Source organism: Homo sapiens, chromosome 4, assembly GCF_000001405.40.
Source record: "Homo sapiens chromosome 4, GRCh38.p14 Primary Assembly".
Lineage (NCBI taxonomy): Eukaryota > Metazoa > Chordata > Mammalia > Primates > Hominidae > Homo > Homo sapiens.
Genome location: NC_000004.12, coordinates 2,591,538 through 2,608,996, shown reverse-complemented (window position 1 = coordinate 2,608,996; position 17,459 = coordinate 2,591,538). Strand labels below are relative to the sequence as shown.

General features: G+C 45.9%; 1 protein-coding gene across 7 annotated transcripts in view, besides 3 other annotated features; it reads right to left on the bottom strand.

Annotated features, from left to right (window-relative positions):
• Positions 1 to 17,459, bottom strand: part of FAM193A (family with sequence similarity 193 member A) — a 197,199-nt gene that overhangs the window by 123,577 nt on the left and 56,163 nt on the right. For all 7 annotated transcript variants that reach the window (NM_001366316.2, XM_047416341.1, XM_011513590.3 and 4 more), the window contains exon 2: positions 12,668 to 12,913. In NM_001366316.2, the coding sequence (NP_001353245.1) occupies positions 12,668 to 12,913 (246 nt within the window). The remainder of the gene's footprint in view (positions 1 to 12,667; positions 12,914 to 17,459) is intronic.
• Positions 10,390 to 11,342: an enhancer, noted in NCBI's record as "OCT4-NANOG-H3K27ac-H3K4me1 hESC enhancer chr4:2599382-2600334 (GRCh37/hg19 assembly coordinates)". NCBI's record gives its function as "activates a minimal SCP1, AML or CMV promoter by ChIP-STARR-seq in primed H9 embryonic stem cells {active_cell/tissue: H9 hESC(primed)}" and the evidence as "EXISTENCE:reporter gene assay evidence [ECO:0000049][PMID:30033119]".
• Positions 11,343 to 12,294: an enhancer, noted in NCBI's record as "OCT4-NANOG-H3K27ac-H3K4me1 hESC enhancer chr4:2598430-2599381 (GRCh37/hg19 assembly coordinates)". NCBI's record gives its function as "activates a minimal SCP1, AML or CMV promoter by ChIP-STARR-seq in primed H9 embryonic stem cells {active_cell/tissue: H9 hESC(primed)}" and the evidence as "EXISTENCE:reporter gene assay evidence [ECO:0000049][PMID:30033119]".
• Positions 12,295 to 13,247: an enhancer, noted in NCBI's record as "H3K27ac-H3K4me1 hESC enhancer chr4:2597477-2598429 (GRCh37/hg19 assembly coordinates)". NCBI's record gives its function as "activates a minimal SCP1, AML or CMV promoter by ChIP-STARR-seq in naive H9 embryonic stem cells {active_cell/tissue: H9 hESC(naive)}" and the evidence as "EXISTENCE:reporter gene assay evidence [ECO:0000049][PMID:30033119]".

The window sequence follows — 17,459 nt, the reverse complement described above, 5'->3', positions numbered from 1 at the left end:
ATGGCGTGAACCCGGGAGGCAGAGCTTGCAGTGAGCCAAGATGGCACCACTGCACTCCAGCCTGGGCGACAGAGTGAGACTCTGTCTCAAAAAAAAAAAAAAAAGGTGAAATTCAAATTAACAACATTATTTTAAAGAGAGAGATCGATGATTAGCTGAAACCAAATTGCTAAGTTCAACACAGGCTTGGTCCTGACTATTAAGGAGCAAGATTTGTTTAGTCAGGCCTGTCCCCTTGCAGGTCTATGCAAAAATGTCTCAGCCATCCCACCTCTCTTCTCTGAATTTCTCCTTCAGTGGGCTACCTCTGGGCCCGAGATAGAATGTTATTAAGACCAACCAACACTCTCCTCAAAGCCTATGGCAAACAGTGTGCCGAGGCACACCAGGACACAGGACTCTGGTGGCAAAGCCCATGGGCATATTGCTGACCCGCCCATGATCTAAATATGCTTCCCACTACCCCTGGCTCATTATCATATTTGGCTGGGTGCAGTGGCTCACTCCTGTAATCCCAGCACTTTGGGAGGCCGTGGCAGGCAGATCATCTGAGGTCCAGCCAGGGCGACAGAGGGAGACTGATTGAGCCCAGGAGTTTGAGACCAGCCTGAGCAACATGGCAAAACCCCGTCTATATTAAAAATAAAAAAATTAGCCAGGCATGGTGGTGCGCACCTGTAGTCCCAGCTACTCAGGAGACTGAGGCAGAAGGGTTGCTTGAACACAGGAGGTGAAGGCTGCAGAGAATCAGGATTGCACCACTGCACTCCATACTGGGCGAGACCGACCGTCTCGAAAACAGAAAAGAAAAATGAAGTCCTCTTGGTATTTTAAATTTTTATTTTTTTATTTTCAGGTTAAGATCAATCTACAAGGAGATATAGTAGATCGTGGAAGCACTAATCTGGGAGTGAATCAGGCCGGCTTCACCTTACACTCTGCAATTTATGCTGCACACCCGGACGTGAAGTGCGTGGTGCACATTCACACCCCAGCAGGGGCTGTGGTGAGTGGCTGCCCTGGTAGCATCTCAAGGTTAAAAAAAGAAAAGAATCTGTGTTCATAAAGCGACACCATCACATAGTGAAAAACAGACAAAAAAGAAACAGGCAATATCTGCAACACATACAACCAATAAAGAGCTGCTACTGAGTGTATATAAAGAAATCCCACAAGTCAATAAGAAAAAGACAACCCAACAGAGCTGTGGTTCTCAAAGTGTGGTCCGAGGACCCCATTCAGATGGTCCAGCATAGCCTAGAGCCGCAGCGAGGGTAAGGCCATGCTATAAGCCTAGTTGCCAACCTGAACATATCATTGATAATTAACTAAGTTCTCTGACAAATTTCAGTGTTAAAGCTATAATGAAGAATTAGAAGGGAAAGCATTATTTTCCAAATACTAAAAACAAATCTGGTTGACACCTATGTTAAATATGTATCAGCAGACAGATATTAAAAAGTTGAGCAAGTTTCAAGAAATCTGTGGTTAACTACTAATGGCTAGCAAAATAGGATTTTCACCCTAACACCCTTCAGCAGGCCCACGAGTCAAAACTATTTTCAAATTTGTACCAAAATGTCCTCTGCCTTTTTCACTGTGCTGACATTCACACTGACAGGGAAAAAAACAATGGTGGGGAAAAGAGTGAAACACCAATGCAAGGACGAAGACAGCAGGAGCAAAGCATGCTAGTGGCTGCTGCATTCTTCACTGCCACACACTTCAGAGCTGTGAGGCGGGAAAAAAGCCAGTTCCACTTAAGAATGTCCTTGATGCAATAAAAATAATTATTTTGCATAAATCTCAACCCCTGAGCACAAGTCTTCTGAATATTCTGCGTGACGAAGTGGGAAGTATACACAGAGCATTTATTTCTCCGGCACGCCCCAGGAAGAGTCCGCCTCGAGGAATCTCACTGTGCATTGTGAGATGAATGGCCCTTCACCTGTGAAATGTCAATTTTACTTCAAAAAGTGACTGATGGGCCAAACTATGGTTATTTGGACTTGGATATTTGTCAGATATTTTCCAAAATGAACAAAATGAGTCCGTCACTTCAAGGCAATTTGGCACTATTTGTGACCAATAAAATCTGAGCTTTTCTCATAATCATAATTTTTCTGAGCAAAAATTAGAACTCTGGAAAACTTTCACCTGCCACTGTGGGCTTGAAAACTCAACATTTAAAGAACTTTCTGATGAGATCAGTGGTGGTATTAACAAATATGATTTTTTTGTAACAAATATGATTTTTTAAAAATAATGATGAAAAGTATTAATATCAGGAAAATCTGTCTACCTTAGTAAACCAATACTTTACAAATAACCAACATGTGATGTTACAAGCCACGCATGGGCAAGATATCCATTCAGAGGACAAGACAGACCAATGGACTTTCACATAACAGTGTAGGGAAAAGCCACTGATTGGTTTTAGCTTCTACACTACACCTAACCCTTGAGAAACTAACTTGTCATGGTTTGGTACAGCATCAAAGAAAAATATCCACAATTCTCTAAAAAAGCCAATAAAATATTTCTTCAAATACTTCAATCAGAACAACCTATCACAACAGGTTCCACACAGAGGCAGATATAAGAAACCAGCTTTGTTCTATCATTCAGATATTAAAGAGGTTTGTTAGGCCGGATGCGGTGGCTCACGCCTATAATCCCAACACTTTGGGAGACAGAGGTGGGTGGATCACGAGGTCAGTATTTCAAGACCGGCCTGACCAAGATGGTGAAACCCCCATCTCTACCAAAAATACAAAAATTAGCCGGGCGCAGTGGCAAACGCCTGTAATCCCAGCAACATGGGAGGTTGAGGCAGGAGAATCACTTGAACCCAGGCAGCAGAGGTTGCAGTGAGCTGAGATTATGCCACTGTACTCCAGCCTGGGTGACAGAGTGAGACACTGTCTCAAAAAAAAAAAAAAAAAAAAAAAGAGGTTTGCAAAATATACAAAACACGGCCACTCTACTTACTAAACCATTTTTTTTTTTTTTTTTTTTTTTTTTTTGAGACAGAGTCTCACTCTGTCGCCTAGGCTGGAGTGCAGTGGTGCAATCTCAGCTCACTGCAACCTCCACCTCCTAGGTTCAAGTGATTCTCCTGCCTCAGCCTCCCCAGTAGCTGGGATTACAGGCATGTGCCACCATGACGGGCTAATTTTGTATTTTCAGTAGAGACGAGGTTTCGCCATGTTGGCCAGGCTGGTCTCGAACTCCTGACCTCAGGTGATCCGCCCATCTTGGCCTCCCAAAGTGCTGGGATTACAGGCGTGAGCCACCGTGTCCGGCCCTACTTACTAAACCATTCTTGTTTTTGGAAAATAGTTTTCATTTAAAAACATGCTACTGATCTTAACATGGAATCAGTCAAGTATATAAACCACCTATGGCTCAGCAATTCCTTCTATTTATAGACAACAGAATGTCATGTGTGCTCCACAATCAGCAAGATTTGGAAACAACTAAAATGCAACATGTTCACAAAGGAGGATGGCATCTAGCAATGAAAATAGAGAAACAAGATTTATGACTCTCAAACATAATGCTGAGCAAAATAAGTAAGACATAAAATAACACACAGTACGATTACATTTCTGTAAAATTCAAAACACCAGGAAAACTGTACTACAGTATTTGTGGGTAGATGCTTAGGTGATATAACTAACAAAGAACAGTAAGAGTGAGGACTAGGAGCAGCCGGCAAGTGTGAACTTGCTGCAAGAGGGTAATGACTAGAAGGGGTTCAAGAAGGGATCTGGGTTAACAGCAACGCTTGATTTTTGACCTGCATGGTAGCAGAAATTACCCCACATATATTAACCATTACAGTAAGTGATGAGGATTGATTTCACCATTAAGATGCAGACTCTCGCCTGGGCATGGTGGCTCACACCTGTAATGCCAGCACTTGGAGAGGCCAAGGTGGTAGGATTGCTTGGGCGCCGGAGTTCAAGATCAGCCTGGGCAACACAGTAGGGACCCATCCCTACAAAAAATTTAAAAAAAAAAAAAAAATCATCCAGGACTGTTGGCGTGCAGCTGTAATCCCAGCTACTCAGGAGGCTAAGCTGGGAGAATCACTTGAGCCCAGGAGGTCGAGGCTGCAGTGAGCTGTTTTCGCACCACTGCACTCCAGCCTGAGTGACAGAGAGAGGCCTTGCCACCAAAAAAAAAAAAAAAAAAAAAAAGGAAAAAGAAAAAAGAAAAAAAGCAGACTCTCAATTAAAACCACGTAAAGTCTACCTCTATATATACTGCATAAGAACACCTAAACAGACTAACACAAAGAAATCAAAATTAAAAGGATGTGCAGATGTGCAAAAAAAAGAATGGGAGGGAGCTCCCATAGCTAAACAAACAGAAAACAACGCCCTTCAGGAGAAAGGCACGACCACAGATGGGGTCCGTGCAGTAACAGGAATGATACGCCAAGACTTAAAGACTTAATAATAATTTCAACCTGTATTCTACCCAGCACTCTTGAAATATGTAAAGCAAAACAAACTTTTTAAGGAAGACAGGAAAAAGACACATTCATAGTAGGACATTTTAAATAACACTCAGAAATTGACAGATTAAGCACCAAAAAAGCAATAAAACCACGGAAACACAGAAGGATTTAAGAACACAATTAATGAGGTCCTGAGCCTTCCACCTAAACCCAGAGAAAACATTATTTTCCAGCACAAACAGAATAATTTAAAAAAGTAACTATGTATTAGAACTAGCAAATACAGCAAATACAGTGATTAATAAGGAATCACTATCATACAGACCATGATTTTCAACTATAACAGCATTAAATTAAAAGTCAACATGATTAAAAGTAATTCAAGTGGCTGGCCGTGGTGGCTCACCCCTGTAATTTCAGCAAGTTGGGAGGGTGAGGCGGGCGGATCACCTGAGGTCAGGAGTTTGAGACCAGCCTGGCCAACATGGTAAAACCCCGTCTCTACTAAAAATACAAAAATTAGCTGGGCATGGTGACACACGCCTGTAATCCCAGCTGCTCAGAAGGCTGAGGCATGAGAATCACTTGAACCCAGAAGGCAGAGGTTGCAGTGAGCCAAGATCGTGCCACTACACTCCAGCCTGGGTGACAGAGTGAAATTCCGTCTCAAAATAATAATAATAATAATTCAAGAGATATGTGTTTGGATACTTACACGTACTTCTAAATAATTCACGGGTGAAAACAGAAATAATAAAAACTAGAAAATAATGAAAATTGGCCGGGTGCAGTGACTCACACCTGTACTTTGGGAGGCCAAGGTGGGCAGATCACGAGGTCAGGAGATCGAGGCCATCCTGGCTAACATGGTGAAACCCCGTCTCTACTAAAAATACAAAAAAAAATTAGTCAGGCGTGGTGGCATGCACCCGTAGTCCCAGCTACTTGGGAGGCTGAGGCAGGAGAATGGTGTGAACCCAGGAGGCGGAGCTTGCAGTGAGCCGAGATCGCACCACTGCACTCCAGCCTGGGTGACTGAGCAAGACTCCGTCTCAAAAAAAAAAAAAAAAAAAAAAATTAGCTGGGCGTGGTAGTGCATACCTGTAATCCCAGCTACTAGGGCGGCTGAGGAAGGAGAATGGCTTGAACCCAAGAGGCGGAGGTTGCGTTGAGCCGAAATCACGCCATTGAACTCCAGCCTGGGCAACAAGCGTGAAACTCCATCTCAAAAAAAAAAACAAAAAAAGCCAGGCGCGGTGGCTCACACCTATAATCCCAGCAATCAGGAGGCCGAGGTGGGCAGGTCACGAGACTGAGACCATCCTGGCTAACACGGTGAAACCCCGTCTCTACTAAAAAATATATATATATACATATATATATACACACAAAATTAGCCAGGCATGGTGGTGGGCGCCTGTAATCCCAGCTACTCAGGAGGCTGAGGCAGGAGAATGGCGTGAACCCAGAAGGCGGAGCCTGCAGTGAGCTGAGATGGCGCCACTGCACTCCAGCCTGGGCAATAGAGCGAGACTTCGTCTCAAAAAAAAAAAAAAAAAAAAAAAAAAAGGCCGGGTGCAGTGGCTCACACTTGTAATCCCAGCACTTTGGGAGGACGAGGCGGGCGGATCACAAGGTCAGGAGATCCAGACAATCCTGGCTAACATGGTGAAACCCAATCTCTACTAAAAATACAAAAAATTAGCCGGGCGTGGTGGTGGGCGCCTGTAGTCCCAGCTACTTGGGAGGCTGAGGCAGGAGAATGGTGTGAACCCGGGAGGCTGAGCTTGCAGTGAGCTGAGATCGCGCCACTGCACTCCAGCCTGGGCAACAGAGCGAGATTCCGTCACAAAACAAAAACAAAAACATCAAAACGAAAAACATGGCCAGCCTCATGCCTCTAATCCTAGCACTTTGGGAGGCCAAGGTGGGTGGATCACCTGAGGTCAGGAGTTCAAGAACAGCCTGGCCAACATGGTGAAACCCCATCTGTACTAAAAATGCAAAAATTAGCTGGGTTGATGGCACGTGCCTGTAATCCCAGCTACTCAGAGGCTAAGGCAGGATTATCGTTTGAACCTATGAGGTGGAGGTTTCAGTGAGCCGAGATCACACAACTGCACTCCAGCCTGGGAGACAACAGCGAAACTCTGTCTCAAAAAAAAAAAAAAAAAAGAACAGAACATCTCTAGAGGAAGATTCAAGCATCTGCCAATAGTGGAGGCCTCTGGGAAGGCAAAGAGGATAAAGAGAGAGAGCCAGAGGAAACTAACTTTGCACTGTTCTCTTTCGGGCCTCTAAATTTTTTTTTTTTAAATCACATTCACCATAGCATCAACCAATCAAATATTAATATATAGCACATGTATGTATATAAAATAGCAATAATTGCCTGGGTGCAGTGGCTCACGCCTGTCAACCCAGTACTTTGGGAGGCCGCAGCAGGAGGATCACTTGAGGTCAGGAGTTCGAAACCAGCCTGGGCAACATGGCAAAACTCTGTCTCTACTAAAAATACAAAAATTAGCTGGGCACGGTGGTACATGCCTGTAGTCCCAGCTACCCAGGAGACTGAGGCAGGAGAATCCCTTGAACCTGGGAGGTGGAGGTTACAGTGAGCCAAGATCACGCCACTGCATTCCGGCCTGGGCAACAGAGCGAGAATCTATCTTAAAAATAATAATAATAAAAAGCAACAATTAATTAAACAGACAAAGTACAAGTATTTTAAAAGTTAAAAGCTGCTTCTTTGGAAAGACAAAACTGACAAGACTTTTTTTTGGTTTATAATTTTTTTTTTTTTATAGAGACAGAGTCTTTCTATGTTAGCCAGGTTGGTCTTGAACTCCTGGCCTCAAGCAATCCTCCTGCTTCGGCCTCCCAAAGACTACGGTTACAGGTGTGATCCACTGTGCTGGGCCAAAACTGACAGACTTCTAACAAAACTAGTTTAAAAGAAAAAAAAGAAGGCACAAATATGAGAAATAAAAAAGTAGCCGGGTATGGTGGCTCAGGCTTGTAATCCCAGCACTTTGGGAGACCGAGGTGGGCGGATCACCTGAGGTCAGGAGTTAGAGAACAGCCTGGCCAACATGGCGAAACCCCATCTCTACTAAAAATACAAAAAAATTAGCTGGGTGTGGTGGTACGCGCCTACAGTCCCAGCTACTCGGGAGGCTGAGTCACCAGAATCGCTTGAACCCGGGAGGCAGAGGTTGCAGTAAGCTGAGATCGCACCACTGCACTCCAGCCTGGGCGACAGAGAGAAACTCCATCTCAGGAAAAAAAAAAAAAAAAAAAAGAAGAAGAAGAAATAAAAAGTCAAATCTACAAATCAGGTAAGAAGTGAAAAGAGACCATTACACAGAACTTTATACCAGTAACTCTGCCAATTTTTCTTGTTTTAAAAGAGACGGGGTCTCACTGTGCTGCCCAGACTGCAGTACAGTGGCACTATCATACCGCACAACAGCCCAGAACTCCTGGGCTCAAGCGACCCTCCTGCCTCAGCCTCCTGTGTAGCCGCAACTACAGGCATGTGCCACGCTGGTGGGCAACTTTGACAATTTCTAAGAATATAACTTACCAAAACTAACCTGACAAGATTTTAACCATTAAAGAAATTGAACCACAACTTTAAAATCTACCTAGAGACATACATGGCTGTGAAGGGGAGGTGAGGCCAAAGGCGGGTCATTCATGAATGGGTAGCCCCAGAGTATTTGCATTCCATGGGTCATGGGCCAAGGCAGAAGAAAACAATAATCAAAGCGACAAAGTCTTGAAGAAGATGAAAACAGATGGGCACCTGAAAGCCCAGTGGGGGTGGGCCTTGGAGAGGAAAGAGAGGAGAAAATGCCCTCAGCTATGGGGGTTTGGGGGTGATACAGGGGAGGTGTTAACTTTGATTTTCTCCCTGAAGCACGAAGGTCAATAGCTGAGCTGAGCAAGGGGTGGGTAAAGAGGGTACACGTAGTCTAAGAAGCAAGGAAAAGGAAGGGTTCCTGCCAAGGAGTTTGGGGAGGTACTTAAGCCAGAAAAACGCACTAGATGCCCATGCATGGTTTGCAGTCATGAAGTTATGAAGAGGAAGCAGTAAACTGAGGCCAGCAATTTTCTCCATGAATATTCTGCCACATGGAGGGAAGAGACAGGGCTGGACCAGCATAACCAAAAAAAGTTCAGGGCCTTTGCCTGAGAGCCACGGAAGAGCCACAGTGCCAAGTCCGGGAACTCAGGCTCCTAGGAGTGAGGTCGGGGAGACGTGATAAACCTAACAGGAATGGAATCCATGGACTGATAGGGATGGATGAGGTCAAAGAACTATGGCAGGTCAGGCGCAGTGGCTCACGCCTGTAATCCCAGCACTTTGGGAGGCCAAGGTAGGTAGATCATTTGAGGCCAGGAGTTTGAGACCAGCTTGGCCATCATCACGAAACCCTGTCTCTACTAAATACAAAGATCAGCCAGGTGTGGTGTTGCGCGCCTATAGTCCCCGGTACTCGGGAGGCTGAGGCATGAGAATCACCTGAACCCAGGAGGCAGAGGTTGCAGTGAGCCAACATCGCACCACTGCATTCCAGCCTGGTGACAGAGCGAGACTGTGTCTCTAAAAAAAAAAAAAAATTAGCCAGGTGTGATGGCGCATGCCTATAGTCCCAGCTACTCGGGAGGCTGAGGCACGATAGTCTCTTGAACCCAGGAAGTGAGGTTGTAGTGAGCTGAGATTGCACCACTGCACTCCAGCCTGGGCAACAGAGCAAGACTCTGTCTCAAAAAAAAAAAAAAACTATGGCAAGAGAAGACAAGCAAGTGAGCTACAAAGACAGACAATGATCAAGATGAAAGTTTGAAATGGAGATTTCTTAGGTTTCCAGGCACGACTATGTCTAGGACGTGATGCTAGGATGGGTCAATCTTGGAAGAAGAGGTCTCCAGAGAAATTTGCAACGTGCAACTGTCAGGCAAGATGTTAAGATAAATTCCCACCAATATTCTCCTACAACTGCTGATAACAGAATGCTTATCTAGAAGACAGCAATTCAGCCCCACTTCCCCTCTGGATGCAGAAAGCTGCAGGAGAGCCGTGCACTCTGAGCCCTGACCAGAGCCCTGACCAGAGACAGAGCAGGACAATTGATAAAATCCTATCTCTGGGCCATCAGAGAGCCGAAGTGACCAGGCTGCCGGAGGGAACTACACAACAAAGTGCAGCAGCCCCTCCAGGGAGAAGGGGACACACTTACTGTTTCACCTTTGACAGAGGAAGGAAAGTGGAAGGAGGCCATAAAAGTGGTTAGAAAAAAAAAAAACAGTTTAACTTTAAACAAATTCTGAAAGGTTGAGAGTGTCAAGTGTGGGAGTCTAACCCCTGGAAAGCCCCAAAACGAATGTTCCCACTCATTCCCAGGAGACCTGCACCCAAGTCTCCAGCTAATCCACTAGCAGAGAGGAAGGAAACATGCCTTTCTCCTTGTCCTGGAGAAAGGCGTGTGCCACACACAGGCCAGGACCAGCACAAGACACGGGGCCGGTCAGACCCCTGCAGATACAAGGCAGAGTCTGGCTGCCACCGGGCAGAGGTGGGCTCGCTGGGAAAGCTGCCCCCAAGGCCGTGAGCACAGAGCTGCCCAAGAGTCAGGCTAGAGGGGGGAACTGAGAAGATGCCACCATCGGAGACCTTGCCAAGGAGGAAGTAGAGAGAGACTCCCCTCTACAGGCCCACACGAGCACGCACAGTGCTAGAGACAGCCCAGCTGAGGCCAAATGCACTGACCTGGCCTCCCAGGTGCACAACAGGACACAGGAAACAACCTCAGCCTGATGCTCTCTGCACACTGTCTGGCATTTGACCAAACAGAACAAGAGAAACAGAAAGCAAGAACCAATAACGTTTAAGGAAGAGATGATAATACCAATTCTAACACAGTCTTCCAGAAAGGAGAAGAAACAGGAACACATTCTAACTCATTTTATGAGACCCCGAAGGCCACTGTAAGACAAGAGGCCTACAGACAGCCTTCATGAGCACAGATGCAAAAATCATTAACATAACTTTAGCAAATCAATCCAGCAACACATAAAAAGGATGTCCACAGAAGAAAAATAATGTTCATAGCAGCTTTTTTCAAAATAGCCCAAACGTGGGAACAACACAAACATCCATCAATTAATTGGTGAATGCATAAATTGGTTTATCTGTAAAATTACTCAATAAAAAAGAGAAACTACGGATGCATGCAACATTTTGGGTAACTCTCAAAAGCATTATGCAAGTTACAGAAGTATATGTGACACTCTGGAAAAAGCAAAACTGTAGGAACAAAAATCAGGTCAGGCCAGGCGCGGTGGCTCATGCCTATAATCCCAGCACTATGGAAGGCAGAGGCGGGCGGATCACGATCGAGACCATAATGGCCAACATGGTGAAACCCCATCTCTACCAAAAATACAAAAATTAGCTGGGCATGGTGGCGCGTGCCTGTAGTCCCAGCTACTGGGGAGGCTGAGGCAGAAGAATTGCTTGAACCCGGGAGGCGGAGGTTGCAGTGAGCCAAGATTGTGCCACTGCACTCCAGCCTGGGTGACAGAGCGAGACTCTGTCTCAAAAAAAAAAATTCAGGTGAGTGGTTACCAGAGGCTAGGACGGGGGAAGGGAAGTGACTACCAAGGGGAACAAGGGGATTTTATGGGGTGATGCAAATGTTCTGTAGCTTAGCTGTGGTAGTGAACATTTTTTAAGTAAAAAAAGAGTGAATCTTAATGGAAGGTAAATCATGTTATTTTTTTAAAGGCCAGCTCCAACAAAGAGGCTGACCTACAAAGCAACAGCTGGTCCGAATCCACAAACACAGGCCAACACTACACCTCTGCTGTTCCCAAGGTCACTGTTTCTGGTGAGGAGAGAATGGCTCATCTGACAAACTATCCATTACCAAGACAAGCCGGGGGCTGGGAAATGAGATCCTCCTCCAACGCAGGCAAGACGCACTGCAGGGAACCATAGGCACTTCCGCTGGCCTCTGGACCAGGGCAAACAGCAGAAGCCTGTTCCCAAGGGCAGAGGCAGGCTAAAATACAAGAGCAGGGCTGGAGTCGGAAGAAGAGCTGATAAAGTTTAATGAGAAAACAAACCAACCACCACAAAAAGCAAAGAAAATGGTATTGGTAAAAAAACAAACAAAAAAACCACACAAAGAAAACCATAAAAATAGCTGTCTTTGTAGAGTTTATATTCTAATGAAGAAGAAAGCAAACCAAATGAGTAAGTAAAATACATAGTATGTTAGAAATAAGTGCTAGGAAGAGAATTACAGCAGGAAAGCGGGACATGCGGGAGGGGCCGAGTGAGAAAGTAATTCTGACAATGAGACCCCAAGGATAGAAACTGGCCCTGGAGATGGGGCTTGCCTCCAAGGCCAGTAAAGATGGAAACCCACACCAGGCAGTGGGGATGCGCTCTTCAGATTGTCACCAGGACTCCCCCAAGGCAGTTCTGCAGGAGAAAACAGAGGAGCAGGGAATGCACACGTTTCCTGGCTGCACATAGCAAGGTATCAGAAGGAAGAGAAGAGCTCAGAAAATAATTAGCCGCTTTCAAGCAGAAATCAAAGGGCACAGAAGAGGCCTAGAATGTGGGGTCTCAAATAGTTGCAAAAGCCAACTCCTTCCAGAACCCAAACAGTACATGTGAAAGCCTGCCCGGAACAAGGGCCCACCAAAACTCCATCAGGTCAAAGATAAGAGTAAGGGTGCGGTCTTCCCAGCCAAGCCTGCTGTGGCCTCGAAGAGGCTGAAGCAGCACAAATAAGTAAAAGGGAAGGTGAGGCTTAAGAGCATCGCGTAAAGAATTACCTGCATGTCGAATTGTTGAGAACTAAACACATGAAAATTGTACTCCCTTTTCAAGAAACTGTACCACCAAAGAAATACTAAGCTCAAAGCCAAAAATCACCCTTCAGGGTCACATAGCTTGATGACTGAATTGTGCCCAGACAAGGAGGGCAGGTGTCCTGCCACCTACTGCAGTGTGGCCAGGGAAGACCAGGAGGAACGTACCAGGAGACACAGACTAGAAGGTGGTGCAGGAGGGAGTGCCCCCTGAAGCAAAAGCAAATCCATTTCTTTCACTGCCAGTTACCCCATAACCTGGGCGGGGGGAGCCAACGCCCTGCGCTGCCTGTGCTGGCAGCCACTCACCACTGGCTGGTCAAGGCCGCCATGCCTCTCCTCCTTCTCCACGGTCCTGCGGCAGTCCGGGCACACCCACAGTGGCAGGTGCAGCACGCTGTTGCCCTTGGGAGCCATGGAAAGGGCCAATTTGCTCGCAGTCTTAATTCCACTCTCTAAGAATGATGAGTCTTTCCGTTCACTTCTGCACAGAAGACAATAATCCCCAGCAGGGTAGGGTGGTGTCCTATGATTCATGCCAAAACTAAAAGGAGTCTGGAATAGAAAAAAAAAATTCTATTTTCAAAACCTCATCTACAAAGCCAAGAATATTAAAATATATGTATAGTTCTAAAACTAAAATGCATGTGTATGTTTATATACAGAAACATAAAATAGGAAATGTATTGAATAAAACTAAACCTAATGTTCTAGAAACTCGTAATACTTTAAATAGTGCCATAAAGAAAATCTTATCTTAGTACGAGTTAGAAAATTGTCAAAATTAACCCCTTCACCTTGACTTCTGTATTACTTTTCCACCACATGCTAGAAACTGTCAGCCTCAATTTTCAGACTGTTTACCAGAACTGGTTACCACCAACGAAGTCTGAAACTACTATTCTAGAGGCATCTGCACACCAGGGCTCAGATTCAAGATGGCAATTCTGGCTTAAGTGTGTCTGCAGATGCAAACCATCTTTGAGGTCGGCTGTCCAAATTCCAGATTCAAGATAAACAGGGAGCTGATGGCAGCTGCACATCCAAGGCCCAGACGCCCTTCCAGGCCCAGCAGTAATGATGCTGAGCTCATCTCTTATCACCTGATGTAAATAAACATCTGCATTTTCAAATAGGTCCTACAATGTGGGGCAAGGGGAAGAGGCCTTAGAGGTAGGAGGAAAAGGCAAGATTGTTATACCTTAAAACCTCTCAAAAGATAACCACCCACTCTATCAGAAAAAAAATAAAATTAGCCTTTAAAACACAAATACAGAAAAAGAAACTGAAGGCTGGGCACAGTGGCTTACGCCTGTGATCCCAGCACCTGGGGAGGCAGAGGTGAGATGATCATTTGAGCTCAGAGGTTTGAGACCAGCCTCAGTAACATAGCAAGACTTCGCCTCTGCAAAAAATCCAACTATTAGCCAGGCATAGTGGTGCGTGCCTGTAGTCCCAGCTACTAGGGAGGCTGAGGTGAGAGGATTGCTAAAACCCAGCAAGTCGAGGCTGTAGTGAGCTGTGATCGTGCCACTGCACTCTAGCCTGGGTGAGAGGGCAAGACCCCGTGTCAAAAAAAAAAAAGAAAGAAAAATCCAGCCTGGCCAACATGGTGAAACCCTGTTTCTATTAAAAACACAAAATTAGCTGGGCGTGGTGGTGTGCACCTGTAATCCCAGCTACTCAGGAGGCTGACGCAGGAGAATCGTTTGAACCTGGAAGGTGGAGGTTGCAGTGAGCCAAGATCACGCCACTGCATTCCAGCCTGGGCAATAGAGCAAGACTAAGTCTCAAAAAAAAAAAAAAAAAAAAAAAAAAGGAAAAGAAAAGAAAAAGAAAGAAACTGAGTCTCACACAACTGGAAATGGGGTTAAAGTCCCAAGACCAGCAAGTGTGTGTGTGTCGGGGGAGACACAGGATTTTTAACCCGTATCAACCCAATCCTAAGACGGGTCCTTCACACAGGGCTGCCTCTGCACCTTAGGAGGAAGCCCCTTCGAACCCTGAGGAGAGGCTGGAGGGAGGCACTCCCAGGGAGCAGGGCAAAGGGAAGCCTCGCCTGGCCTTCCAGAGGCAGCCAGAAAAAGGGCACACAGTGGGGTGGAGGTGAGAGAACCCCCGCTAGTCTCTCCTGCCGTGTAGGGTGTCCTTGCTGCAAGACATGCCAGGTGGGAAGAGAGTGGACCCAGCTGACGCTGTTCTGGCTTTTCAGTCTCCATCTCCACCCAGAAGCTTCTCCAAGGCCGGCTAGACCTGTAGCTCTTCCCACAGCCTCGAGCTGTCTCCCCATCCCACCACCGGTATTCAAAAGGACCCACTGTACATAACGGATTGGCCCCTGAACAGCCACTGAGGGCTCTCATTTGGACCCCAGGCTCCATTCTTAAGACTTCCTGCTGACCGGCAGGAAGCACATATTTAAACAAGGGGCTGAATGTATAAATGAATGAATTAGTGATTGAAAGAATGAATGACAATACCAGCAAGACTCAAAAGATGTTCATATATATTCTCACATGTTTCCATGAACCAGTGATCAAAACTGCTGACTCCTGTTACATCCACAGGGTTGTGAGTTTTCCCAAACCCAGCTCAGCAGCCATCCTGAGCTGAATGTTTGGGGCACAGGGGCAGACAACTGCGTCCTACCTCCCCACAGTGTCCTAGAGAACGCCAGACTACTCAAACCACCGAGTACCATGAGAATCCATGTATTTTTCCATACCAACAAATCCCAAAAGCCTAAATGACGACAATTAAAAAAAAAAAAAGGCACACTGATTTACCCCAATATAAAGCCATCTCTTTTCCTCAGGTCTTAGAAAACAGCTCCCATCACTGGCAGAACAGCCATACCCATCAGACCTTTCTGGCTTGCCCTTTTAATTACAGAATGAGATGCTGGGCTCTACAGGCCCAAAGGTCCCCAAGCCTAAAATCATAATGTTAAGAGCCAGAAATGACCAGAGAGCGCACAGCTCAGCTCCTGTACATTCACCAGTCATCCAGGATTTACTGAGCCCATCACATGCTCAGGGACTGGTCCAGGCACTGAGGGCACAATGGTGAAGAAAACTGTCAAAGACAAAGGCAATAAATAAGACAAATACATGAAAAAATTAACTAATTAAATAGTGATAAGGAGAAAAACATAACAGCAAAGAAGATCTGTACCCTTTAACCCGGTGGACAGTGAGGGCCTCCTTGAGGAGACCCCCGAAGCCGACATGGCTGTACCTTGTGGGGAGCCCAGTGGCTGGCATGGGGCTGACAAGAGCAGAAGGAGAGATGGGGGAGAGCTGAGGGCCACTGAAGTCAAGGAGTGACTCTGAGGCTGCGTGCAGAGAGAGATGGGATGGGACAATGGGAAGAAACGACTATCTGCAGTTCAGGAGCCAGACAGCAGCAGCTTGGACCAGGGCTGCAGGAAGGGAAGTGGATAAGGCTGTGAAGGAGCCAGCTGTGAGGTGTGAGAGGAGGAGAAGAGCTAGGGACAAGTATGAAGCGTCAGGTGCTGGGTATTTTTTCATTCCTTCAGTATCTGAGCTTCGTCATGGGCCATAGGAGGGTTGTTTGGGAAGAGTCTGGTCCTTTCAGGGCTTGTAGGCTCTGTAAGGCAGCATCAGAACGCCTTTCCTCTTACCCACAACTGAGGCAATATCCTCCTAAGCTGCCACCCAGGGTCCTGCAGGTTGTAAGATTTTCCCACAATGGCTGGTGGGAACACACACTGCTCCTGGCCCTGTGTGAGCTGCAAGGTTTGTCCCGCTCCTCACTTCCAGGGTGCTAGCCCAGGCGCAGAGAGCTTCCCCACAGGCATGTGCTTATGCGCCCTCAGCTGGGCTTGGGGAGAACCCTATGCAGAGCTCTTCCTTCCCCTCTTTGCAGCTCTCTCCTCTCTGGTACTCTGCCCTGCAAATTTACTTTGGCCTCCCCAAAGTCTCAACTCAGCCTCCTCAATCAAGGAGATCCTCAGACTCGGTCTGGGTAGCTCTCCAAGTCCTAGCCTTCAGACTCTCTCCAGGCAGGAAGCCTGGGCAAGGCTGGAGCTTGCCGCGGTTATTCTTCTTCTCTCAGGGATCACTGTCCTGCCTGCCTGTGGGCCAATGTTGGAAAACTACTACTTGGTACATTTTTTTGGTCCTTTGTTTCACTGTTTGAGACAGGAAGATAAATCCACTTCTAGTTACTACCTCTTGCTTGGAAGCAGAAATCTAGTTACATTGATATTTTTAAAAAATAAATGTAGCAGGCTGGGCGCGGTGGCTCACACCTGTAATCCCAACACTCTGTGAGGCCGAGGCAGGCAGATCAAGAGGTCAGGAGTTCAAGACCAGCCTGGCCAACGTGGTGAAACCCCGTGTCTACTAAAAATACAAAAAATTAGCCGGGTGTGGTGGCGTACATCTGTAATCCCAGCTACTCAAGCTGAGGCAGGAGAATCACTTGAACCCATGAGGCGGAGGTTGCGGCAAGCGGATATCGCGCCACTGCATTCCAGCCTGGGCAAACAGAGCAATACTCCATCTCAAAAAAAAAAATTATATATATGTACCAGAATGAACATTTTACTAGTATCATCCCCCAAATCCTACAAACACATAGATGAAATATGTAAATATATAAAATGTGTATATATATCCATGTAAGGGACCAAGATAACCCAGAAATTTTTGCATAGGAGAATACGGACATATGGCTAAGATGGCAGTATTGCTGAAAACACTTTGGGAACACTACTAACAGCTGAGTTCTACCATCTATGATGTATTTTACCTTTTCTGAATAAACTGATTTTCTACCACCCAGTGACTGTGGCCTGTGTGCATGGGGGTGGGAGGTGTGTGTGTATCATAAAAGACATTAAATCATAATAGCATTTGTTTTCTTGCTAGGCTTATATTCTAGTTTTGAAATTTGTTTCCAAAATGAAATTCCAAATTAAACATGAAAACCCAGATTTACTAAAAATACTTTACAGATAAACTTCTTATAAACATGAAGAAAAAAGGTCATCTTAGGGTAAAAACACAGTAAAAGCAATATCCTCTCGGGTAACAGCAGCACAACCCAGATTAGACCGCCCTATGAAGGCTAATGC